We start from the raw sequence: 27,112 nt of genomic DNA, 5'->3' as shown, positions 1-27,112 counted from the left end.
GTGAGATAGGGGGTCCAATTTCATTTATTTTCATATAAATAGCCTGTTGTCCCAGCATCATTTATTGAAAAAATAACTTCTCTATAATTCTGCACTATAAATTATCATACAATAAGTGACCATATGTGTGTTGGTGTGTTTTGGGCTTTAAATTCTGTTCCATTGGTCTAAATATTAATTCTGGCACCATTAAGAAGTTACTTTAATCGTATCATTATACTAAATCTTGATATTTGGTAGAGCAGGTCTTCCCACTTTGATCTTTTTCTTGTTCAACACTATTTTGGTTGTTTTTTTGCCCTTTGCAATTCTATCTATATAAATTTTAGAAGCAGCTTGCAAGTTTCTTTATCCCTTCCTTTTTTTTTTTTTTTTTGAGATGAAGTTTTGTTCTGTTGCCAGGCTGGAGTGCAGTGGTGCGATCTTGGCTTACTGCAACTTCCGCCTTCCAGGTTCAAGTGATTCCCCTGCTTCAGTCTTCTGAGTAGCTGGGACTACAGGCATGCACCACCATGCCCAGCTAATTTTTGTATTTTAGTAGAGACGGGGTTTCACCATGTTGGCCAGGATGGTCTTGATGTCCTGACCTTGTGATCTGCCTGCCTCGGCCCCCAAAGTGCTGGGTTTACAGGTGTTAGCCACTGTGCCTGGCCCTTTATCCCTTTCTTAATTAAACACACGCACACCACTTAAAAACTGTACTTTGGGAGGCCGAGGTGGGTGGATCACCTGAGGTCAGGAATTCGAGACCAGCCTGACCAACATGATGAAATCCCGTTTCTACTAAAAATACAAAAAATTAGCTGGGCATGGTGGCAGGTGCCTGTAATGCCAGCTACTCAGTAGGCTGAGGCAGGAGAATCGCTTGATCCTGAGAGGGGGAGGTTGCAGTTAGCCAAGACTGTGCCACTGCACTCTAGCCTGGGCAACAAGAGTGAAACTCCGTCTCAAAACAAACAAAACAACAACAAACAAACAAACAAAAACCTTAGGATTTTATTTCCTATGTTTTTACAGAAAAGTACAGAAAACTTTTGAAGGATACCCTTCAAAATGATAAAAATGTTTACTTTTGGGGGAGTGTGAGGGTAAATAAAAATGAATGAGAGGGTGGTTCAAAAAGGATATTAATCTTATCTATGTTTCATTTTCTTTTTTTAGTGAGTGTGTGCTCATGTGTTCTTGCCTAATTAAAACATTTCAGTAATGAAAACATGGTGGGGGACTGTTTCAGAAAATAAGTGGCCAACATACTCAACAACTAGGGAGAAACAAGGAATGAATACAGTGTCTCGTACATAGATGATATCTAATAATAAGGAAGTAGAAGCAGCCACTAACTGAGAATTACAAGCAGTTCTTTGAGATAGAAGGAATAGAGCAAAGTATTAATTCAGGAAAATTGTTTTAAATAGAAAGAACAAATAATTTAGCTCTGATGGCCTTTAATATAATAAGAAGAGGAGAAAATAGGGGAAATTGAGTCAAGAGCAAAGGTCTGAAAATTGCAATTTGGCAATGTATATAAGGTTGTCAGTAAGAGAGATGAACCAAAGGCTTGCCATGGAGTAGTGAGGATCTACCTTGAGCAAGTAGAATTTGTAGTGAGTTAAATCAGAACAAATGAGAAGGAAAAATGCCAAATCACAAAAGAAATAACATTCCTACTTTTAGAGAAGTAATCTATTTCTACTATCTTATGCAACTCATAGCATGGAGGAAACAATTTGTCCCAGATAATCTCAAACTTTCTTTAGATATGCAATGTAATTTTGACTGTGAATTATTAAATAACAGAATTTTCCTCATTAAGGAAAACTGTAATGGGAACACATAATTTTCCTAGGAACTGTGCTGATTCTTTATCTATGCTTTTTTTTTTTTTTTTTTTTTTTTTCCTGTCCTAAAGCTAATTTCACTGGTTGGGCAGGCACTTTTAAAAGAAGAAATGGAGAGTTACATTATAAAAATCAGAATACACAGTCAAAATATTGTTTCCCCTTTTGAATGCTGCAGTCCTTTGAAATGGCAGTATGAATGCCAATAAAGTAAACATACAAATTTATATTTGATGCCAAGAATATTCAAAAATGAGCACACATTTTCTCTTCTAATAATTATTTTTGCCACTTAAAATTTTATTTTAAAGAAAAGTTTAAACTTAAAGCAAAGTTGCAAGGCTGTACAATAGAAATTCTCTGTTATTTGAATTTAATGTTGGGTAGCTAGTGAGCAAATTTACAATAATCAGAGTGAGTCTCCCAAAGCACCTATGTACAAAGAAGTACAGCTTCAATAGCTACAATTTATCAGTCTCTATGGTGGAGGTTTTTGGATCCCTTGACCAGCTTGGTGGCCAAGTCCAAAATGTGCACCCTTTCTTTCCAACTTCTCTTTTTAGAGATCATTAAGGTAGGCTGCATTTTCTATAAATCCTATTTGAGATCCAGGTGTGTGATACAGCACCTGAACTAACAATAATGATTGATTACAGGCTGGGTGCAGTGACTCATACCTATAATCCCAGTACTTTGGGAGGTCAAGGCAGGCAGATCATGAGGTCAGGAGTTTGAGACCAGCCAGTTCGAGACCAGCCTGGCTAACATGGTGAGACCCTGTCTCTACTAAAAATACAAAAATCAGCTGCGTGTGATTGCATGTGCCTGTAATCCCAACTACTTGGGAGGCTGAGGCAAGAGAATCGCTTGAACCCAGGAGGTGAAAGTTGCGTGAGGTGAGATTGTGCCACTGCACTCCAGCCTGAGCCAGAGAGAAAAACTCTGTCTTAGAAAGAAAAACAAAAACAAGAACAAAAAAGATTGATTACATATAATACCTAAATGGGTTATATCAGAAAATATATATCACATGTCTTCTCAGAGCTTCTAATACTGATCCTTCAGAGGTTATAATTAAATGTTACAAAGTTTTATTAAAGAAAAAACTGTCCCTGTGCTCCCAGCTACTTAGGAGGCTGAGGCGGGAGGATTGCTTGAGCCCAGGAGGTGGAGGATACAGTGACTGTGCTGTTGCACTCCTGCCTGAGCAATAGAGTGAGACCCCATCTAAACAAACAAACAACCTCCCAAAACTTGTCAATGCAATGTATCTTGAGTTCATTAAGGTATTTGATAAGTCACGCATAAATGCCTTGTCGATAGAGAAAGTAGGTCTGTAGGTTTTGATGTGTTGAAATAGAAATATGCTAGTTAAGCAATTACAACCAGCAGGGTTTCTGGTAGTATGTGAAATGGCCTAGCCTAAAAAAAAGTTTTATCAGTGACTTGAATGAAAGCATGCTTAACATATTTGCTGGTGACAGAAACTACAAAAGACAAGTAATATACTAGACAGCTGATATAAATTTTAAAAAGACCTCTTAGTAGACTGATGGGCTGAATCCAACAAAATGAAATTTAACAAAAAATGTGAATACCTAAATTTAGATAAAAATTCATAATACAAAAATCTACAAAAATTCATGATTCATATTTATAATGAAAAACCACTTAGATGGCAAACATATGAAGTATGACTATCAAGAGATCTTTTTTATAAACTTAAAAATTTAAATATTCATATAAGCTTGTTTTTTTTTACAAGGAATATTTATACTTACTAAAGTTATTCTCTCATTGCTTTAAAAATTTCAGAATTTTTGTTGCTCTCAATGGTAGTAATCCATCCTTATTATTATTTGGTTTCCCGTGTAATTGCCTTTTAGGAAAACAAAAAGGTATACTCTTGCTGAAATCTGCATGCCAGTATTAATTTCTTATGGCACTTATAAAATGCATAGAAGAATGTTTTATGGTTAGCATTCAAAAATGATTCTCTATTATCATTATTATATTCATTTAATATATTTACTTAATATAGGAACAGAATATGGTGACTACTTGTCTATTTCATGAAAGTTTCTTTTTTCCTTTCTGTGAGATAGGCCTTGCTCTGTCATCCAGATTGGAGATCCATTGGTGTGATCACAGCTCACTGTAGTCTCAAACTCCTGGGCTCACACAATTCTCCCACCTCAGCCTCCCAAATAGCTAGGACAACAGGTGCACACCACCACATCCAGCTAAATTTACTTTTTGTAGAGACAGGGTTTCACTATGTTGCCCAGGCTGGTCTTGAACTCTTGGCCTCAAGCAATCCCTCCACCTCAGCCTCCCGAGTGGCTGAGATTACAGGTGTAAGCCACTGTGCCTGGCCATGGAACAATTCTTATACATCATGGGTATGGCGAAATATATCCCTTTTTAAAATGTCAGTCTTAAGAATTTAATTAATAGACATTGATTCCATCAAGACGAATGATGCATCATATGTTTTCATGGGATATATTTACCAAAATTTATATAGTCCATACTATGTGCCAACCTGTGCTAGGTGCTGGATAGACCATATGAATAAAAGAGATGTGACTCATGTCCTCATGGATCTTCCCACCTACAGTTCTAGAGATAAATTAAGTAAACACATGAATAAGTATATAATTGTAACTATAAGTGCTATAAAGGAAAATAACAAGGTGCAATGATAGAGAATAACTGCAGGCATAATTTAGGTGGGCAGTGTGGATCACAGAATTCCTTCTGTGAGAAAGAGATAAACCAGAACAGAAAGAATGCACAGGAGTTAGCCAGGTAAAGAGTAGGTTTAAGAACATTTTAAGTAATGGGGACAGCAAATTCCCTGAGGAAAGAAAAAGCTATATGGAGCTTAGTAAGCAATAAAGCACAAGAGAGAAATGGTAAGAGAAGAGCCTAGAAATCAGGGAGGAGCCAGATTATACAGAATTTAGCAGAACATGTCAAGGAGTTTTGGTAACAATGAATGTGATAAGAATCCATTGAAGGGTTCAAGTAGAGAAGTGACATTATTTACTTTATTTTAAAAAGTCGACTCTGGCTATGGGTTGAAGACTGAATTGAAGGGAGGCAAGGGTGGAAATGATGAGACCAGCCACTGAAATAATTAAGGTGAAAGATGATAGATGATAGTTGATTAGACCAAGTTGTTCCCTGGGAATTTATAATGCCAAGTGAATCTAGAAGAGTCACCAATAAGTCTCACAGGATTTCTTAAAATGGCATTTAGAGTAGCAGACTAGTTTTTTATCTATGAAAATACTAACAGTTATAATATACTTATAAAACTGGTTCACTTAAGAATATATTTTCTCAGCTGGGCACAGTGGCTCACGTCTGTAATCCGAGCACTTTGGGAGGCCCAGGTGGTCAGATCATGAGGTCAGGAGTTCGAGACCAGCCTGGCCAACATATGAAACCCCGTCTCTACTAATAATACAAAAATCTGCCAGGTGTGGTAGTGCGTGCTTGTAATCCCAGCTACTCAGGAGGCTGAGGCAGGAGAATCACTTGAACCCCGGAGGTGGAGTTTGCAGCGAGCCGAGATTGTGTCCTGCACTCCAGCCTGGGCAAAAAGAGTGAGACTCTGTGTCAAAAAAAGAAAAAATAAATGTGTTAACATATCAACAAAGTTCACTTAATTTTGATGGCTTTCTTGGCTGGTTTGGTGATTAATGCCTTTACCTAGGATCTACATCATCTGCCTAGATAGCAGAGATTCTGTGTCTTACCAGATTAATTTTCTCTCCTATATGTTAACTTTATTACGTATTTGGGTATTTAAGGAAAAAACCCCAAAGAACAAAAGTTCCTCACTTCTTAACAACTGTATTACCTTTCATGCTTTTAAAAAAAATATTTCATTATCATTTTGATTAGACAATCAAAAATTATTTCTCAAGTATCCATGGTCCTATTTAAATTACATGTCTAAGTTTCCTCTGATAACTCAAAATTTGATCCCAAACATAAAATAAATTAAAAAAAAATTTCAGGGAATGTAAAACTATTTTGTACTTATCTACAAAGTCCACAGGCCCAGAAAAAAAGAAAAAGAAATAAAACTATCTTTGACATTTCCCAGAAAGCCAATAGAAATCACAAAAGTTTGTTCTTTAAGCACAGATAAAGAGTTACAATATCAAAAGAGAAGCCCAGTCTTCCCTAGGTTATATGTCTATAGGGAAAATTTTATTAATGTAAACATATTAAAAATTGTATGCTTTGTATAAAGTCCCCAGAGAACTGTTAATGCTCTCCCTGTCCACACTGCTTTCTTTTACCTTTTTAAAACTGTGGTATTCAAGATTTGCCGTTTACAAATCTTCTTTGAGAAATGTCTATTCGAATCTTTTGCTCACTTTTGTTTTTATTTATTTATTTTTAATTTCAATAGGTTTTTTGGGGGAAGCAGGTGGTGTTTGATTACATGAATACTTTCTTTAGTAGTGATTTCTGAGATTCCGGTGTACCCATCACCTGAGCAGTGTACATTGTACACAGTGTGTAGTCTTTTATCACTCAACCCCCTCCCACACTTTCTTCCCCCAGTCCCCAAAGTCCACTGTATAATTCTTATGCCTTTGTATCCTCATACTGATAGATGCAGGAGGTAGATAAGGTGGAGGTTCCCTGGAGAATCTCCAACTGGCCTGCACACTGGGAGGATGGGGTGGAGCTATGGGAAGTTTAGAAGTTCGCACCATTTGCAGTGGGGAGGAGCCTGGGCTCTTCAGCTCGCATGTGTGGTGGCCTGCAATTCAATCTGTGAGGCGGGAAACCTGCTAGCAGGAATCTCTCTCACTTTGCTGAGGTTTCCTGTTTCCCTTTTTTTTTCACACAATAAATCCCGTTCTACTCATCCTATAATGTGTCCATGCAACTAAATTATCCCTGTTGTGTAACAAGAACGTGTTTTTTTTCTACAACATTTTTGGCGCCCAACATGGGGCTTGAGAAAAGGTAAGTACCAAGCAAGTCTAAAAATCTTTTTTCCTTTCACTTCTATGTCTCTTTCTCCTCAGACCTCTTTGGAGGGTAGAGGAAACTGTGCACCACCTCATCCCAACAGCTGCAGGCATGCGCAAGATGGACCACAGAATGGCAGCTCCTGCACTCCTCTCCCTGCCAGGGCTGGGATGCATGGCCCAAGGGTGCCTAATGGCAGGCTGGCCAATGCTCTCTGCATTGCATCTGTGGAGCCTTCCCCTCCCCAGGGAAAGGGGTTTCACTCTGTGGGAAAGTGATTAAGTTTTTCTCACTGGTGGAAGAACTTATTTGCATAAGAATACGAAGTTCTTCCCCAGGCATCTTTTTCTTTTCTCCACCCTATTAGCAGTTAATACAGCCCTGCATTTAAGCTGTCTTTTCCTTTTCTCCACAGGGTCAGGAATTTATTTTTAAGTGAGGGTTTGTTTTTCTTTTTTTCCTTTTGGAAGAGATTTTGCTGGACCAGGAATAATGGGGATCACTGTTTATATTCTCTGTAGAGTTTTACTTGTGAAAAAGGATTTGTTATTTTGGCCTTAAGCTGTAACCAATCTGGTGTGATTTGCATGACTTTCCATATGGTCAGTAGCAAACTTTGCTGCAGGCCTCCATCTTGTTTTATGTCCTTGGGAGCAAAGCCTGTAACCATGTGGCAATGTTTTGTTCTAGCCTCTGCCATTTTACAATGGTGGCCTGGGATTCAATGAGTCCTTTCCAGTTTGATATTTGTGTGACCTTTGCTAATTATTGATTCTCTTCCCCTCCATGAACCGCCTTGGATTTTCCTTTCTCTGAGTCTTTAGTAAAGTTTGAAAGCCAGAAATATTGGCCACTTGGCATCGCTAAAGTCGGGTAGTAAGGGAGTTAAAAGGAAATTCTTAAAAAGAGTGCTCGGCTTAATTAAAAGTGGATATTCAAATTATAGGTATATTTAAATGGCCTTTATGTTTTTCTTTTCTTGGATCTTGTTTTTCTGGAAAAAGGGTTTTTTTCTCAGTTGACTGAATTATTTTTCTCCGTTTGTCTTGCCACCCTCAATGCACACATGAAGGGGAAAGACCTCTATTTTCTTCATGGAACCCCAAGAATTAAAAGTGGATAGATCCCTCTGAAAATCTGTTTTTGCCCCATCTATGCCTGTTTATTAGGTTTTAGAAGCTGCATGTTTTCCTAGCCCTGTCTCTTAAAGGGCTATATCCAATAATCCAATTAGGAGATTGGTAAGCAAAAGATCTTATGGTGACTGGGTTTTCTTTTGCCTGTCTGTTTAGTTATATATGTGTTGTGTGTGTGATGCCTATAAAAAGAGCTCTAATTAACTGGCTTAAAGGAAGATAGTGCTTGGATCAAAAAAATTTTTAAAGGGATGATAAAAGTTGTGGTGCCTTTCAGTTCATGTGACTTTAATCTTTGAGAAATAAAAACAACCCTTAAAGAATATTGGTAAAAAGCAGATGTCATTAAAATATAAACAGGTGGACTAAACTATGCAGGTCAGGTGCTAGGTTTGCTAAATGTTTTAAGTTTATAAACTGCTTTTTGGGTTTAAAGAACTATTTGACTTGCCTGCTCCATAAATGGTAAGGCTAGGGACATGTAGTACTAACCGCATCTTTAATTAAGCTGGAAGGAGTTAAGCCTTGGCAGCACCTAGCACATAATGAAAACAACTTATCAGGTTTTACATTAAAGTAAAAAATTTCAAGGAGTTACCATTATAACATATAACTCAAACTACTGGAAATAAATTTACATGTGAGGCATGTAAGACTAATAAGATGTGTTTTTAGTAAAAGATTATAAAAAAGGCATAAAAATGTAAATTCTTGCCTAGTGTTAAAGGGTTGTTTTGAATTAGATAAAATAAAGCTCAAAGTTCAAACAAGTGGTAGAAGGACTGTAAAAATCTTGAAAAAAATTCCATGTGTAAACATATTGACTAAATTCAAAAAGGTATTATATGGTTTTTCAGTGAACTGAGCATTGAAATGAAAGCACAAGATACTCTTAAGGCACTAATCTGCTCTTTTGCAAAATTTGTAAAGGGTCATAATAAGTTTTTGCTTTTTTAAAGTATCTGAGTCATCATTTTGGCAAAATAAATAATTCATGGTAATCTGGAATTCTATTTCATAACAATAGTTGTTTTAAACCTCTAATATATTTAATAGGCTTCCCAAAATCAAACTTCAGTTTCAAAATTGTTTTTCCTGATACCTGGCTTTTTGAGTGCTACAGAGGTCCCCTGGGGCATCTAGAAAAGAAGTAAACAGGATTATTTGGCATATTTAGTTACATGGGATTGCCAAACGGTGTTTAATCTACTTTAGGATATATTTTGGGGAATAATACTAATATATGTCCCAAAATTGTAGGAAATTTCAAAAATTCTAATGTCTAAAGTATATGCTATCAATCATAATTAAGGTTGTTATGTCAAGTTATTATAAACCACAAAGATAACCAAACTTCTCTGTCAATGGTGATTCTAACTGTAACTACCCTGGACATTTTGTTATTCAGACAATTTTTGTTTTGTTTTGATCCTTTTCAAAAGATGGTTTATAATCACCTATAGGACTCTAACAGGTGCTCTCAAATGCAGGTTTCTAATAACTTTGGAGATAGTGACATTGGAATAAAGGAAAAACGTACAGGACTCATAAAGAAATAAAATGTTCATCAATATTAAGCAACACAAAAGTTAACTAAATGGGGCCAGGCGTGGTGGCTCACGCCTGTAATCCCAGCACTTTGGGAAGCTGAGGTGTGTGGATCACCTGAGGTATGGAGTTTGAGACCAGCCTGGCCAACCTGCTGAAACACTGTCTCTACTAAAAATACAAAAATTAGCTGGGTGTGGTGGCAGGCACCTGTAATCTCAGGTACTTGGGAGGCTGAGGCGGGAGAATCACTTGAACTTGGGAGGTGGAGGTTGCAGTGAGCCAAGATCATGCCATTGCACTCCAGCTTGGGTGAGAAGAGCAAAACTCTGTCTCAAAACAAACAAGTAAACAACAACACAAAGACTTAACTAAATGGACTAAATGCAGAAAACTGAAGCAATCTTTTTGAGTTTTTTGGAATATTGCTGATCCTTGTTTTATTTTTCAGATTCATGGAAACTGATTTTGAACTATTTACAGCCCTTAATAATCAAGTAAGGTATACTGTGAACAAAATTTGGAGAACGTGTGTTTCTCTCTGCCTGGTTTCTCTAGAATTTGGAAAGTATCTGTGAGTATTCTTAACTTCTGGCAATATAGTTGTTTGGATCAGTGCAATAAAAGTCCATTTTCTTTTGCAACAGGATGCAATTGGAGAAACAAGTTTTTTTTTTTTTTACCAAGGCTTTGACTGGAAGGGTGTGTTTCCCTTTCAGGAGTCAAGCTTGACTTGCAGAGCTCATAAAAGCCAATTGAGAAAACTGGCCTCATACCCTTGTCTACCCAGTCCCTGTATAGGGTTCCTGATCTGTGGTCAGTAAAGAATGTCTCTTTCTAACAGGCCCAGGATCTCCAAGTTTATCCTGGGACCTTAAGAGGAGAGGATCACCTAACTCACAGGTATTTGAGGCTACAAACCCATGGCTGGGCTTCACTTTAAAAGGTCTTATCTGAGATTCCTTGTGGAATAGAGTTCCATCAAAGCCAGTCTAAAAGGCCTATTTACAAATAGTTATTCTTGCTGTACTTTATGCAAATAATCAGGCTAAATATAAGACTAAGTCTATTTTGCAAACAACTCAGTCCTATCATGATTTTTTTTTTAATGAAAATAAGGACTGGAGAGAGAGAAATTATGTTTCACAATTTATACATTTGTCATTACATTCTAAACTCCTAGTTGTTTTTAAGTTGTAACCTACATTTTAGACTAACCCTGCATGTTCCAGCAATCTCCAGCTGTAGCTCAGAAAGAACAAAAGGGACAGGTGATGTAGAAATCTGGATCAATATTCTAGTTCTGAGCAATTAACCTGCAAATCCTGCCAGGTGATGGCAATAAATAGGATGCCCATCCAGGTTTCCTTTTTGGGAAAGTAAGACCAAGGGAGCTAACCAAAGCCAAGCACCATGCACCCAAATCTTAGCAAGCATGAATATAGCCAACAGTTATTTGGGCATGTCATGAGACATCCTTTTCTCTCCCTTGTTGGAGGAGGACTCAATTCCACAGCTTCACCTTAGCATTCAGCTTATGATAAGGAGTCCATGCAACTCCTCCCCACCCCAAGACACATTTTTGTCTCAAACTCAACTCCAAGCTATGGGTCAACGCCCTAGGAAAGAACACTAGATCTGAGGAATCCAGAGGCAGACGGTAATGGAAGTTAAAAGGCACAATGCAGGTGAGCATGACTGATTCCTGCCAGTTAAGCCAAGCTTCTTGTTTCATGAATAAAGGTTATGCTAGTATCCATCGCATAAATGGGGTCTGGGGAATTCAAGGCTACTGACAGCAGTGGAGATAGGGCATATGTGGTTAAAAGCTGATACCTCCCACCCCTTAGCTCCCCCTGTTAACATGGGTGAAAGCCACTTTAAAACCTATGGGTGGCACCCTGTTGCAGTCACTGGGATACAAGGATGGAGGAAAGAAAGAGGAACACCTCACTTTCCCTCCCTCACATACCTCGGGTATATGCTAGGAAGAAAAAGGAACCAGGGACACCTGCTCCCCTCTTTCTACATGAGTAGTCATTAATCTTCAGTCTGTATCCCTTTCAATTGCATCCTGAACCACTGGGACTCCTCTGAAAAAAAACAACAACAAAACGCCTTCTTTTTTTTTTTTCCTTTTTCCTTCCCTGTCCTCTCTTCACAGATAGGTAACTGTGTCTCCATACTATGGGACACTCCCTTTGGATACATCTTCCAAACTGAGAAGAGTTAATTTCCCAAACCTTAAACTGATTGGCTTAGGATTGAGCTCAGGGGACAGGAACCCAGAAGTCTGAAATGCTAGCAAAAGGGTAAAAGTTTTTCTTACCGGTCAAGCTTTTGGTCCCCCTTCTCCCTGTACAGACTGGTCAAAGGACACGAGATTTTTGAGCTGTCCTCACCTGCCCCTTGTTTCATTTTGATACAAGTTTTCTAATAACCTGGTTTCTCTCTTGTCACCTTCAGGCCATCAACCTCCAAACGGTCATGCAACTGGAGGCTTGGCCGATGGTCCCTTTTGTTGGGGACCCTTAGATAGGCCTCTGAAGGAGATGTGACTGCTGTTTACCAAAACAGTGCCCCTTACCAGCAGGAAGCAGTTAAGATTGGTATTCATCCTTATCCTTATTTTAACGGCAGTTAAATGTATGTCTTCAGAGGGGGAATGATAGATGCAGGAGGCAGATAAGGCAGAGGATCCCTGGAGAATCTCTGACTGGCACGGGGAGGATGGGGTGGAGTTACGGGAAGTTTGGAATCCCACACCATTTGCAGAGGGGAGGAGCCTGGGGTCTTCAGCTTGCGTGTGGGGTGGCCTGCAATTAAATCTGTGAGGCAGGAAACCTGCTAGCAGGATTCTCTCTTGCTTTGCCAGGAGTTCCAATTTCCCTTTTTTTTTCCTTTTCATCCAATAAATCCTGCCCTACTCACCCTACAATGTGTCCACATGCCTAAATTATTCTGGTCTTGTGACAAGAACCTGTTTTTTTTCTACAACAATCTTTGCTCATTTTTGAATCAGGTTGTTTTTCTGTTGAGTTTTAGGAGTTCTCTGTATATTCTGGATATTAATCTCTTATCAGGTATATAATTTGCAAATATTTTCTCCCATTCTGTGGACTGCCTTTTTCTCTGTTCATAGAATCTTTGGATGTGCAAAGATTTAAAATTCCCATGCAGTCTAATTTGTGTACTTTTTGCTGTTGTTGCCAGTGCCTTTGGTGTCATGTCCAAGAAAATCACTGCCAAATCCAATGTCATAAAGTTTTGACTCCAAGAGTTGTATTGTGGGTCTTAGCTTTAGGTCTCTGATCCATTTTGAATTAATTTTTGTATATGGTGTTAGATAAAAGTTCAAATTAATTCTTTTGCATGTGAATATCCAGTTTTCCCAGGACCATTTTTTGAAAAGACTGTCTTCCCCACTGAATGGTCTTGGTTCCCTGGTCAAAAATCATTTGACCATATTTGCAAGAGTTTTTAGTTTAAGGGGATACTGATCAAAACTCTTTTGAAATAGTTATCCCCCAGTGGAAAGAATTTTAACCTCTTGCATTTTGATATTATTGGTTACAATTAACAATAGTCTGTCATCTATGAACAAATTTTGATGTTTACCTGAAGATTATGCTTATTAAGCTATAGGCCAGAGTTTGTGTGTTCAACAGAGATAGTTTCAAAAGCTTCATGGAAAGAATTGTACCAAATACTTCAAAGTACTAATACTTGAAAGAATAGACTCATGAGTAGACTTCTGCTTGGACAACTTTTGGACCTAAACAGTGGACTGAGTTAGAATTTCTAAAACTCTCTCAGGCCAGAAGCAGAAAGTTTCATGAAAGCAGACTGCTAAGCCAAGGCTTATTTGAATAATAATTAATTATCACAGGACTGAATCAACACAGAATGAAAAAGGAATACAGAAGGAAATTTCTTTTCCTATTTGTTTGGAGTAGTATTGACACTGGTTGTTTTAAATGTTCTATTTTCTGGATACATGAGGAAGCTCTTTTTCTTCTTTTTAAGCTATATGTAACCCACACAATTTAGTAGACCCTGATTTCTTAAACTAATATGAAACATTTCAAAATAATATTTGATTCTGACTTCCTCCAAATTCAGAAACTCTTAGTAATTTCCTAACTTTTCTTGACAGTATAGTTATTTGCAATCCTAATAAGAATGTCTTCCTTTTAAACAGGATATAATTGTACAAACTGATTGTGCAACCAAGGCCTTACCTGGAGATATATTTGAGAATGATGGTCATCTAATCAAATATCACTACCACTTTGAAGAAAAAAATATTGGCTGTACTCCTGAAGCCAATGGTGACAATGCCCTCCCAGAGAAACCAACCTAGTACCTGGAGCAGAAGGTTTCAGCCTTTTATGTGGTAAGGAAGATCACTTACATGTGGGAATAAAATTTTGGTGACCTGGAGAAGAGAGGAACTTACCAAAATGATGATGATGGTGAAGTTTCTTGGGCATAGTTTACTAATCTTGGGTTGGCAAAAATAGAGACCTTTAAAAGTATTAAGTAATGGCAAAAACCGCAATTACTTTTTTAACAACCTAATAGAATCTGAGATTCCCTAAGAAAATTTCCAGACAAAAATTAATTTTGTGGTCTTCTTATTTGTAAAACAAACTTAAGGAGGATATCTGGTTAATTAATAATCTTGCGGCCAGGTGCGGTGGCTCATGCCTGTAATCCAGCACTTTGGGAGGCCGAAGCAGCCGGATCACAAGGTCAAGAGATGGAAACCATCCTGGCCAACATGGTGAAACCCTGTCTGTACTAAAAATACAAAAATTAGCTGGGTGTGGTGGCACATGCCTGTAATCCCACTACTTGGGAGGCTGAGGCAGAGGAATCACTTGAACCCGGGAAGTGGAGGTTGCAGTGAGCTGAGATTGTGCCACTGCGCTCCAGCCTGGCGACAGAAGGAGACTCAGTCTCAAAAAAAAAAAAAAATTGCTCCAGTTATGTAACGAATCAGCCCAAACCTAATGAGATCAAACACATTTTTTTGTGGTAAATAAAAACTATCTTAGAGGCCAGGCTCTGTGGCTCATGCCTGTAATGCTAACACTTTGGGAGGTTGAGGAGGGTGGATTGCTTGAATCCAGGAGTTTGAGACTAGCCTGGGCAACATGATGAAACCCTGTCTTTACAAAAAATACAAAAATTAGCTGGGCATGGTGCTGTGTGCCTGTAGTCCCCAGCTACTTGGGCAGCTGAAGCAGGATAATTGTTTGAGCCTAGAAGGTAGAGGCTGCAGTAAGCTGTGATTGTGCCACTGCACTCCGACATGGGTGACAGCAAGCTCCTGTCTGGAAAAAAAAATTATCTTCACGATTACTAAGATTACTAGAATGCCCTGACTTGTATATCCTTCTGAGTTATCTGTACTTTTCATTGTTTTACACGATTTTACAACTTTGCAAGTTGAAGAAAACTAATAATAATGTAAGTAATGATTCCTGTCCATAGAAATGCAAATAAGTTTAGTCCTGATCAGGAGCAACTACTCATTGGCCTGTATATCTTGCACAAATTTTCTATTTATAAATTCATTCCAGTCTTCATGACTGTTGACATATGTCTGTGTCCTTTCCATTCTTGTTTGAATTGGTGTAACAGCTTACTAGTTCTCTCATTATTTAATAAGTTAAATAAAATCTTTGGCACATATTTATTTTATACTTCTAAGTGTTATAACTCAACCTTTATAAAACTATCTTTTAACATGTATCATACTGTATTCTCCAAAGTATTTCATTATATTGATTTATCTATATATTCTTCTTACTCCACAGATGTTTATAGCTTAAAGCTTTTTTGCTTGGATCAGTAAACTTCCAGAGTAAACACATTCGACATTCGATTGTTTACAATTCTTAGATTGGGCAGTGCATCTTATCACTTAAGTATTTCAAACCATGGTAAAAAATCCCATTTCTTTCTCTTTCTTTTTTTTTTTGAGATGGAGTTTCTCGTCACCCAGGATAGAGTGCAATGGCACAATCTCTGCTCACTGTAACCTCTGCCTCCGGGGTTTAAGTGATTCTCCTGCCTCAGCCTCCCGAGTAGCTGGGATTACAGGTGCCCGCCACCACGCCTGGCTAATTTTTGTACTTTTAGTAGAGACGAGATTTCACTATGTTGGCTAGGCTGGACTCAAACTCCTGACCTCAGGTGATCCGCCCACCTCAGCCTTCCAAAGTGCTGGGATTACAGGCGTGAGCCACCGCACCTGGACCCCAATTCTCATTTTTGAGGAGAGTTTATAATTAGTTTGTCACCTCCCAAAATGTCTTCTTTTACTTTTTCTTTTATGAAAGGTGCTATAGCAGAGTAGTCAAGAATTCCCATCTTAGAATCAGACTGCCTAGACTTGAATACCAGTTCAGCCACTAAGTAGTTCCATGTTCTTAACTACCATGAGCTTCAGATTTCTTACAAGCAAAATGAGGATTTACGTAAAGAGCTGATATATATAAAATGCTTAGAGAATGATTGGTATTCAATTAATATAATTATTTTAATATCTCAAAATCCTCATGGATAAAAGGAAACAATAAAACTGTATATATATAGTTTTAATATATATGTATACATAAACACATGTATACGTGCACATAAACACATGTATACGTATACATGTATACATATAAACACATGTATACGTATACATAAACACACGTATACACATATATGTTAAGTGATTCTCCTGCCTCAGCCTCCCAAGTAGCTGGGATTATAGGTGCCAGCCACCATGCGGTGGTGTATACATGTATATGTACATGTTTGATAAACATAACATACAGCATGTTTGTTTTATATATATATAAAAACACACACATATACATATATATACATATACACATATATATATTCACACACACACATATATATATAATATATATACAAATGATATGGATAAAAATATTGTTTTTTCCGTATCATTTACCAAGAAGAAGTCACCAACTCTTTTTCTTCCCAGGGCAATCAGTAGATGTTCTTTCATACAATACAGCTTAGGGAGCATCATTATTGTTTTGGATTTCTCCAGAAGATTTAATTTCTGTCAGTGAAATGAGATTTCCTATTACAAATCTCCAAGGATAGCTTCCCTCTTTGTCTTAAATTCTTTCTTTGCCTGTTGTTAATATTATTACTTTGAGTTTTGAACCTATCAGTTGCCTTGAGGCTGCAAAGCATAAGTTGTCACCTTCAGATTTGGATCCAGTCTCTCTGAAAATATCTTCATTTATTTTATAAATACAGAGGAGCAGGATTTATTTTCATCCTCTTCCTCCTTTAAGTCACATTTTCCAACCCTCTATCCTCTTGAATCAGGTTTTTTTACTGAAATATGAAACTTCAGGGATTCCTATTTGATACATTTTAGTCATTATTAGGAAAATGTCTTATTTCTTTGATGATACAGTACTTATTCAGGTATATTATAATAGTTAAGATACTTTTTAGTTATGGACAACAGTTATCTCTATTAGCTTATTGGCTCATGTAACCAAAAAGTCAAGCAGTCTGTATAGTTCAAGAAGGGCTTGAATGAGTGGTTCACAAAATGTTACTGGGACCCAGTATCTCTTTTAAACTTCTGTTTCTCAGGATTGTTTCTTATGCTAGTTCCATCATAGCAGGCATTCCATTCACGGTCCCAAGACGTAATTCTTGGGGTTGTATATTTCCTCATTCATGTTCAGCAGGAAACAGAGAATCTGTGTCCCCCAGTAGTTAAATTAAAATATAAGAGATGAAATCCACTGGCTCTGACTGCTTTGAATTACATGATCCTTTAACTAATGACTGTGGCTAGGTGAAATGGGTATGTTGATTATACAGTATTAAGACAACCTACACTGGAGGTTTAATCAATTCCACCCAAACTACATGACTGGGAAATGTGGTACAGTGCTAGGAAGAGGGAATGGAAAATGACTGCTGGACAGACAACGAACAAATGTCAATTACAAGAGGAATTTCTTAAGTCTCTATCTCCTGAAATAGCAAGCTGATTAATTTTGCAATAAGTAGCAATGAGCTCATTAGTAACTACTGAACAGTCAGTACATTGACCAAGTTTCACTTTTTGATTACTAGAAGTAGATAACTGAGTTAGGAAGGTAAAGAAGTAATTTAAAAAAGCAACTCTTCAGCTAGGCTGTGAACTCTTTTTTTTTTTTTTTTTTTGAGACAGAGTCTTGCTCTGTCACCTGGGTTGAAGTGCAGTAGTATGATCACAGCTCACTGCAACCTCAACCTCCTGGGCTCAAGTGATTCTTCCACCTCAGCCTCCCAAGTAGCTGGGACTACAGGCATGTGCCACAACGTCTGGCTAATTTTTTATTTTTCAGTAGAGATGGGGTTTTGCCATGTTGCCCGGGTTGGTCTCAAACTCCTGGGTTTAAGACATCTGCCCACCTCAGCCTCCCAAAGTGCTGGTATTACAGGCATGAGAAACTGCACCCAGGCCCTAGACTGTGAACTTTTTATGGGCTGGAACAACCTGTTTATATTTGTATTCTGAGCAGTGAGGATAGTGTTTGGTACCTTGAAAGAATTCTGCAAATACTTAATTCTTAATTTACAAAGTTTATAAAAATTTCCTCATATATGTCATCTCCTGTACTAAAAATAATAATCTGTTGTGAGATACAGGATAATTATTATTTCCATTTTATAGATGAGAACTGAAGCTTAAATTTTAAGTAACTTGTCCGAATTATTAAGTGGTGAGGTAAGGGCTTATATCCAGGTTTTCCGTCTCTAAATACAAGATTTTAACATTATTCCACATTGCTTCACATGCCTCAGATTGTGACCAGCTGAGGGAAATTGTAATTTTTCTTTCTAATAGGTAATCAGGTGCTCCCTTTCAATATTAATTTTACATAGGTAAAACTTGTAAAAGTAAGCCAAATAGTATATATAGATATTCCAAATGACTGTTCTCACATAGAGGTCTTCTGACACACTGACAACACACCAGGTCATTCAGAACCAGTGGGACTCATTAATAAAGTTAGTGCTAGAGAAGCATTCAAAGTTAACATAACTTCTTCAGAAGCATCAAGGCCTTCTTTTCATTATTTTCTGTTACCTATTTCTTCCTTTTCATTCTACTGTATAGATAGATGCCCAGTCTGAAGAACAACATTATACTCTTTGATATGTTGTTAACTGTCATTTGTCACAGGAAACATAAACATGTGAGTCTACTTATAAAACTGAACATCTGTCAAAAGACCAATTACTATTTACAAAGGACTGTTAAATACCAGCTAATAAATAGTTAATCAATGAGAAAGTCTTCACTGATGCTATATGAGAACATCCAGTTAGAACAGTTTTACAATCATTCTCAACTAGTTCCTCCAAAGAATTAAACCCTAATAATTAACTTATCTCCTATGCATCTAGAATGGTATTAGTTGTGTACAATCCTTGGGAGAACTGAAAAATGGGTCACTCAAATAATTTTTGATGTACTAATCTTAACCTTAGCTCCTGGAGGGCATGTCTAGACTTGCCTTGGGCCAGAAAGGCATTCACTGTCCTGAAGGGAGAGATACAGGCCTCGCAGGACTCACCAGTGGTGACTAAAAAGCCCTTGGGCCTTGAATAAACATCAGTGGCAGCCAAGCGGTAGCTGCCCTGAGCCTAGAGTGATAATGGCCATAGGGAGAGACTTCTGCTTGAGGAAAGGAGAAGGAAAAGTAAAGAGGACTTTGTCTTGCAACCTGGTAAAATAAACACCAAGAAGATTCCTAAAGCCTCCCATCCCAGGCCCTAGCTCTTGGACGGCATTTCTAAACCCACCTTGGGCCAGAAGGGGACCTGCTGCACTGAAAAAAAAAAAAAAAAAAAAAAAAAAAAAAAAAAAACCTGGTCTTGGCAGGATTCCCCACCTGCTGACTAAAGATCCCTTGGTCTTTCAGTAAACACAAGCAGCAGCCAGAAAATAGTTGCCACAGGCCTTGGGCAAGACCCAGTACTGGGCTGGTTTTAGGAGTGACCCAACACAGTACCAGTGGTGGTGGCCACAAGAGTGCTTCCATTAACCCTTCCCCAACTCCAGGCAGTTCAGCATGAAGAGGGAGATTAAGTTTGTTTGGGGAAAAGTAAGGGAAAAGAACAAGACTCTGCCTGGTAATCTAGGGAATTCTCCTGGATCTTATTTAAGACCACCACGGCAGTACCTCTATAAGAGTCAGAGTACCTCTGCAAGACTCACAGCATTACTAGAGTTGGGGTGCCCCCTAATGCACATATGGCCTCAGTGACCAGACTTAGATCACAACATTTAATTCCCTTTGAGTATTTGGAAAGCCTTCCCAAGAAGGATGGGTACAAACAAGCCTAGACTTCAAAGATTAGAATAAATATTCAGATACTGATGAACAGCCACAAGCATGAAGACCATCCACAAAAGCATGGCTTTGCTAAATGAACTAAATAAGGCACCAGTGACCAAGTCTGTAGTAACAGAGATATGTGACCTTTTAGACAGAGAATTAGAAATAGTTGTTTTGAGGAAGCTCAACAAAATGAAAGATAACACAGAGAATGAACTCAGAATCATATCAGATAAATTTAACTAAGAGACTGAAATAATTAAAATCAATCAAGCAGAAATTCTGGAGCTGAAAACTGAATTGACAAACTGAAGAATATACCAGAGTCTTTCAACAGCATAACTGATTAAGCAGAAAAAAATTAGTAAGCTTGAAGACAGGCTATTTGAAAATACAGTCAGAATAGTCAAAAGAAAAAAGAATAAAAAATAATGAAGCACACCTATAGGATCTAGAAAATAGCCTCAAAGGGCAGTAAGAGGTATTGGCCTTAAAGAAAAGGTAGAGAGAGAGAGAGAGACTGAGATCAGGGTAGAAAGGTTATTCAAAGAGATATTAACAAAGATCTTTCAAAACATAGAGAAAGATATCAATATTCAAGTACACGAAGGCTACAGAACACTAAGCAGATTTACCCCAAAGAAGACCACCTCAAGACACTTAATAATCAAGCTCCCAAAGATCAAGGATAAAGAAAGGATCCTAAAAGCATCAAGAGAAAAATAACAGATAACATATAAAGGAGGTCCAATATGTCTGGCAGCAGATTTCTCAGTGGAAACCTTACAGGCTGGGAGAGAATGGCAAATTTTAAACTGCTGAAGGAAAAAAACTTTTATCCTACAAAATTATATCCTGTGAAAATGTCCTTCAAACATGAAGGAGAAATAAAGACCTTCCCAGATAAACAAAAGCTGAGGGGTTTCATCAACACCAGACCTATTTTACAAGAAATGCTAAAGGAAGTTCTTCACTCTGAAATAAAAGAATATTAAAGAGAAATAAGAAATCATCTGAAGGCCCCAAACTCTCTGGTAACAATAAATACACAGACAAACACAGAATATTATACACTGTTAAGTGTGATGTATAAATTACTCATCTCATATCTTGAGTAGGACAACTAAGAGATGATCTAAAAAATAATAACTATAGGCATGGTAGCTCATGCCTGTGATCTAGCACCTAGACAGGGCAAGGTGGGTGGATCGCTTGAGCCCAGGAGTTTGAGACAAGCCTGGGCAAAATAGTGAAACCCTGTCTTTACAAAAAATACAAAAATTAGTTGGTCATGGTGTTGCGTGCCTGTAGTCCCAGCTACTTGGGAGACTGAGATGTGAGGACTGATTTAGCCCAAGAGGCCAAGGCTACACTGAGCCGTGATTATACCATTACACTCCAGCCTGGGCAACACAGTGAGACCCTGTCTCAAAAAAAAAAAAAAAAAACCTACAACTTTTTGAGACATACTATTATAAAATATAGATAGAAAAAATAAAATGTTTAAAACTGGGGGGATGAATTTAAAGTGTAGAGTTTTTATCAGTTGTCTCTTTGCTCTTAACTCCTAGCAATCAAAGTTAAGTTGTCATTGGTTTAAAATAATGGGTTATAAGATAGTATTTGCAAGGCTCATGGTAACCTCAAACCAAAAAACTAACAATAGTTCCACAAAAAATATAAAGTAAGAAATTAAAACATATAACCAGAGAAAAACACTTTCACAAAAAGAAAGACAGGAAGGAAGGAAGAAAGAGAAGACCACAAAGAACTAGAAAAAAACAAAACAAAACAAATAATAAAATGGCAATAGTAAGTCCTTACTTATCAATAATAACACTGAATGTAAATGAACTTAACTCTCCAATCAAAAGACACAGAATGGCTGAATGGATTAGAAAACAAGACCTAACAATCTGTTGGTCACAAGAAACACACTTCACTTATAAAAACACACACAGACGGCCGGGCGCGGTGGCTCACGCCTGTAATCCCAGGACTTTGGGAGGCCGAGGCGGGCGGATCATGTGGTCAGGAGATCGAGACCATCTTGGCTAACACGGTGAAACCCCGTCTCTACTAAAAATACAAAAAATTAGCCGGGCGTGGTGGCGGGCGCCTGTAATCCCAGCTACTCAGGAGGCTGAGGCAGGAGAATGGCGTGAACCCGGGAGGCAGAGACTGCAGTGAGCCAAGATAGCGCCACTGCAGTCCGGCCTGGGCGAAAGAGTGACACTCCATCTCAAAAAAGAAAAAAAGAAAAAAAAAAAGCACACACAGACTGAGAATAAAGGGATGGAAAAAGATATACCATGCAAGTGGAAACCCAAAAAGAGTAGCAGTAGCTATACTTAGATCAGAAAAAATAGATTTTAAGACAAACACTATAAAAAGAGACAAGGAAGGTCATTTTATAATGATAAAGGAATCAATTCAGCAAGAGGATATGACAATTGTAAACATATATGCAACCAACACCAGAGCATCCAGACATATAAAACAAATATTATTATATTATTAGAACTAAAGAGAGAGACAGACCCTAATATGCCAATAGCTGGAGACTTCAACACCCCACTTTAAACATTGGACAGATTCTCCAGACAGAAAATTAATAAAGAAACATTGAGGCTGGGCGTGGTAGCTCAGGCCTGTAATTCCAGCACTTTGGGAGGCGGATCGCTTGAGGTCCAGGAGTTCGAGATCAGCCTGGCCAACATGGTGAAACCCCCTCTCTACTAAACACAAAAATTAGCTGGGCACGGTGGCGCGTGCCTGTAATCCCAGCTACTCGGGAAGCTGAAGCAGGAGAATCGCTTGAACCTTGGAGGTAGAGGTTGCAGTGAGCTGAGAATGCCCCACTGTACTCTAGCTTGGGCAACAAAGCAAGACTCTATCTTAAAAAAAAAAAAAAAAAAAGAAACATTGGACTTAATCTCTATTACAGATCAAATAGATCTAATAGATACTTATGGAATATTTCATCCAATGGCTGCAGAATACACATTCTTCTCCTCAGCACACGAATCATTCTCAAGGACAGACGATATGTTAGGCCACAAAACAAGTCTTTAAAAAAACTGAAATCATATGTATCTTATCTAACCCACAACAGCATAAAACTAGAAATCAATAAAAAAAACTTTGGAAATGATACAAACATACGGAAATTAAACAATATGCTCCTGAAAGACCAGTGGGTCACTGAAGACATTAAGAAGCAAATTAATAATGTCTTGAAGCAAATGAATATGGAAACACAAAACACCAAAACCTATGGGATAGGCAAAACAGTACTAAGAGGAAAGTTTATACCAATAAGCACCTACATCAAAAAAGTAGAAAAACTACAAATAAACAACCTAATGACACATGATAAAGAACTAGAAAAGCTAGAGAAAATCAAGCCCAAATTAGTAGAAGAACAGAAATAAAGATCAGAGCAGCAATAAATGAAATTAAGACAAACAAAAAACAGTACAAAAGATCAACAAAATGAAAAGTTGTTTTTCTAAGAAAGATAAACAAAATTGCCAAATCTTTAGCCAAAGAAGAAAAGAGAGAATACCCAAATAAATAAAATCAGAGATGAAAAAGGAGACATCATGATTATACCACAAAAATTCAAAGTATCATTACAGACTACTATGAGCAACTATATGCCAATAAGTTGGAAAACCTAGAAGTAGTGGATAAATTCCTAGATGCATACAACCTACCAAGATTGAACCATGAAGAAATCCAAAACCTGAATACAGCAATAAGTAATGAGATTGAAGCCATAATAAAAAGTCTCCCAGCAAAGAAAAGAACCAATACCTTCACTGCTGAAGTCTACAAAATATTTAAAGAAGAACCGATACCAATCCTACTCAAACTATTCTGAAAAATAGAGAAGGAAGGAATACTTCTATACTCATTCTACAAGGTCAGTATTACCCTGATACTAAAACCAGACAAAGACACATCATAAAAAGAAAACTACAGGCCAATATCTGATTAACATTGATGTAAAAATCCTCAACAAAATGCTAGTACACCAAATTCAGAAACACATTAAAAACATCATTCATCATGACCAAGTGCGATTCATCCCAGGGATGGAAGGATGGTTCAACATAGGCAAATCAATCAATGTGATACATCATATCTACAGAATGAATGACAAAAACCGTATGATCACTTCACTTGATGCTGAAAAAGCATTTGACGAAATTCAATTGCTTCATGATAAAAACCCTAAAAAAACTGGGTATAGAAGGAACGTTCCTCAACATAATAAAAGCTATATGCAACAGACCCACATCTAGTATCATACTGAATGGGGAAAAACTGAAAGCATTTCCTCTAAGATCTGGAACATGACAAAGATGCTCACTTTTACCACTGTTATTCAACATAGCATTGGAAGTGCTAGCTAGAGCAGTCAGACAACAGAAAGATATAAACAGCACCCAAATTGGAAAGGAAGAGATCAAATTATCCTGGTTTGCTGATGATACAATATTTGGAAAAACCTAAGACTCCAACAAAAAACCATTAGAACTAATAAGCAAATTCAGTAAAGTGGCAGGATACAAAATCAACAAACAAAAATTAGTAGCATATCTTTTTTTTTTTTTTTTGAGATGGAGTCTTGCTCCATCACGCAGGCTGAAGTGCAGTGGCACGATCTTAGCTCACTGCAACCTCCACCTCCCAGGTTCAAGCAATTCTCCTGTCTCAGCCTCCTGAGTAGCTGGGACTACAGGGGCCTGCCACCACACCAGGCTAATTTTTGTATTTTTAGTAGAGACGGGGTTTCACCTTGTCGGTTAGGCTGGTCTCGAACTCTTGACCTTAGGTGATCCAACCACCTCAGCCTCCCAAAGTGCTTACATGTGTAAGCCACCACGCCTGGCCAATTAGCAGCATTTCTATATGCCAACAGTGAACAATATGAAAAAGAAATTAAGAAAGTAATCCCATTTACAATAGCTACAAAGAAAACACATAGGAATAAATTTAACCAAAGAAGTAAAAGATTTCTATGATGAAGTATAAAACATTTTTGCAAGAAATTGAAGTGGACACACACAAAAAGGAAAGACATTCCGTATTCATGGATTGGAAGAATCAATATCGTTAAAATGTCCATACTTCCCAAAGCAATCTATGGACTCAATGCAATCCCTATCAAAATACCTTCACAGAAACAGAAAAAATAATCATAACATTTATATGGAACCACAAAAGACCTAGAATAACCAAAGCTATCCTAAGCAAAAATAAAAACAAAACTGGAAGAATCACACTACCTGACTTCAAATTATACTACAGAGCTATAGTAGCTAATACATCATGGTACTGGCATAAAAACAGATACATAGACCAATGGAATAGAATAGAGAACCTAGAAACAAATCCATATAAGTACAGTAAGCTCATTTTGACAAAGGGGTCAAGAACATACATTGGGGAAAGGACAGTCTCTTCAATAAATGGTGCTGGGAAAACTGGATATCCATATGCAGATTATTAAAACTAGACACCTATCTCTTGCCATATATAAAAAATCAAATCAAAATGGATTAAAGACTTACATACTTAAATCTAAGACTTGAAACTATGAAACCACTAAAAGGAAACATTGGGAAAACTCTCCAGGACATTGGACTGGGCAAAGATTTCTTGAGTAATACTCCACAAACACAGGCAACCAATGAAAAAGTAAACAAATGGGATCATATCAAGTTAAAAAGCTTCGCCTAACAAAGGAAACAATCAAGAAAATGAAGAGAATCCAAGGTATGGGAGAAAATATTTGCAAACTATGCATCTGAGAAGGGATTAATAACCAGACTATATAAACAACTCTATAGGAAAAAACATAAAACAATCTAATTTAAAAATGGGTAAAAGATCTGAATAGATGTGTCTCAAGGGAAGACATACAAATGGTAAACAAGTATGTGAAAAGGTGCTCATCATTATTGATCATCAGATAAATGCAAATCAAAACTATAATGAGATATCATCTCTTCCCAGTTAATACGGCTTTTATCCAAAAGACAGGCAATAATGAATGCTGGTGAGGATGTGGAGAAAGGGGAACACTTGTTCGCTATTGGTGGGAATGTAAATTGGCATAGCCACTATGCAGAATAGTATGGAGGTTCTTCAAAAAACTAAAGACAGAACTACGTATGATCCAGCAATGCCTCTACTAGGTGTATATCCAAAAGAAAGGAAATCAGTATATTGAAGAGATATCTGCACTTCCATGTGTATTGCAGCATTATCAACCTGAGTGTCCATCAGCAGATGAATAAAGAAAATGGGGTACATATATACAATGGAGTACTGATCAGCTATAAAAAAGAATGAGATCCTGTCATTTGCAACAACATGGATGGAACTGGAAGACACTGTTAAATGAAATAAGCCAGGCACAAAAAGACAAACTTTGCATGTTCTCACTTATTTGTGGGAGCTAAAAATTAAAACAATTGAACTCACGGAGATAAAGATGGTAGAATGATGGTTACCAGAGGGTGGAGAGGGTGGGTAGGGGGAGTGGGAAATAGGGATGGTTAATGGGTACCCCAAAATATAGTTAGATACAATGGATAAGATCTAGATAGCACAACAGGGTGATTACAATCAGCAATAATTTGTTGTACATTTTAGAATAAATTAGGGAATACAATTGGAATGTCTGTAACACAAAGAAATGATGAATGCTTGAAGTGATGGATACCCATTTACCCTGATGTGATTATTACCCATTGTATGCCTGTATCAAAATATCTCACATGCCCCATAAATATATCCACTACTATGTACCCCACAAAATTAAAATTTTTAAAAAGTCTTCACTTGGTAGTATCTTCTAAGAGACTATGGATGCTAAGTTGTTGGTTTTTTTCTCTCCTAATTTTGGGTGTTTTGCTTCCTAAGTATTTAAAACCAAATTTCACTTTATTATTTCTTTTTCTTCTCTGCCCCTCTCATTTTACATCCATATTAGGGACTTAGATCGTTTTTTTTTCATCCAATGTCTAAATTATCACTGTTTAATGATTTTTATGTATCAGTTTAATCTTTTACAACCTGGCATTTTTTTGCAAGCTATCATTCAGCCACTGACTGAATAAACAAATATGCACCTAAAAAGTTTACTTATGATGAGGAATCACAGAATTTATATCAAAAT

The 27,112-nt window shown here is 37.5% G+C and overlaps 1 protein-coding gene across 20 annotated transcripts in view, besides 1 other annotated feature; it reads right to left on the bottom strand.

Moving 5' to 3' along the window:
* GPHN (gephyrin) overlaps positions 1–27,112 on the bottom strand; it is a 1,227,209-nt gene that overhangs the window by 783,465 nt on the left and 416,632 nt on the right. The window lies entirely within an intron of this gene.
* Positions 17,681–18,880: an enhancer, noted in NCBI's record as "MED14-independent group 3 enhancer chr14:67399728-67400927 (GRCh37/hg19 assembly coordinates)". NCBI's record gives its function as "activates an origin of replication core promoter dependent on BRD2, BRD4, P300/CBP and CDK7 cofactors, and independent of MED14, by STARR-seq in HCT116 cells {active_cell/tissue: HCT116}" and the evidence as "EXISTENCE:reporter gene assay evidence [ECO:0000049][PMID:35650434]".

This window comes from Homo sapiens, chromosome 14 (genome assembly GCF_000001405.40).
Source record: "Homo sapiens chromosome 14, GRCh38.p14 Primary Assembly".
In the NCBI taxonomy this organism is placed as follows: domain Eukaryota; kingdom Metazoa; phylum Chordata; class Mammalia; order Primates; family Hominidae; genus Homo; species Homo sapiens.
The sequence above is the reverse complement of the archived record's forward strand: the minus strand, read 5'-3'. Positions and strand labels throughout refer to the sequence as shown.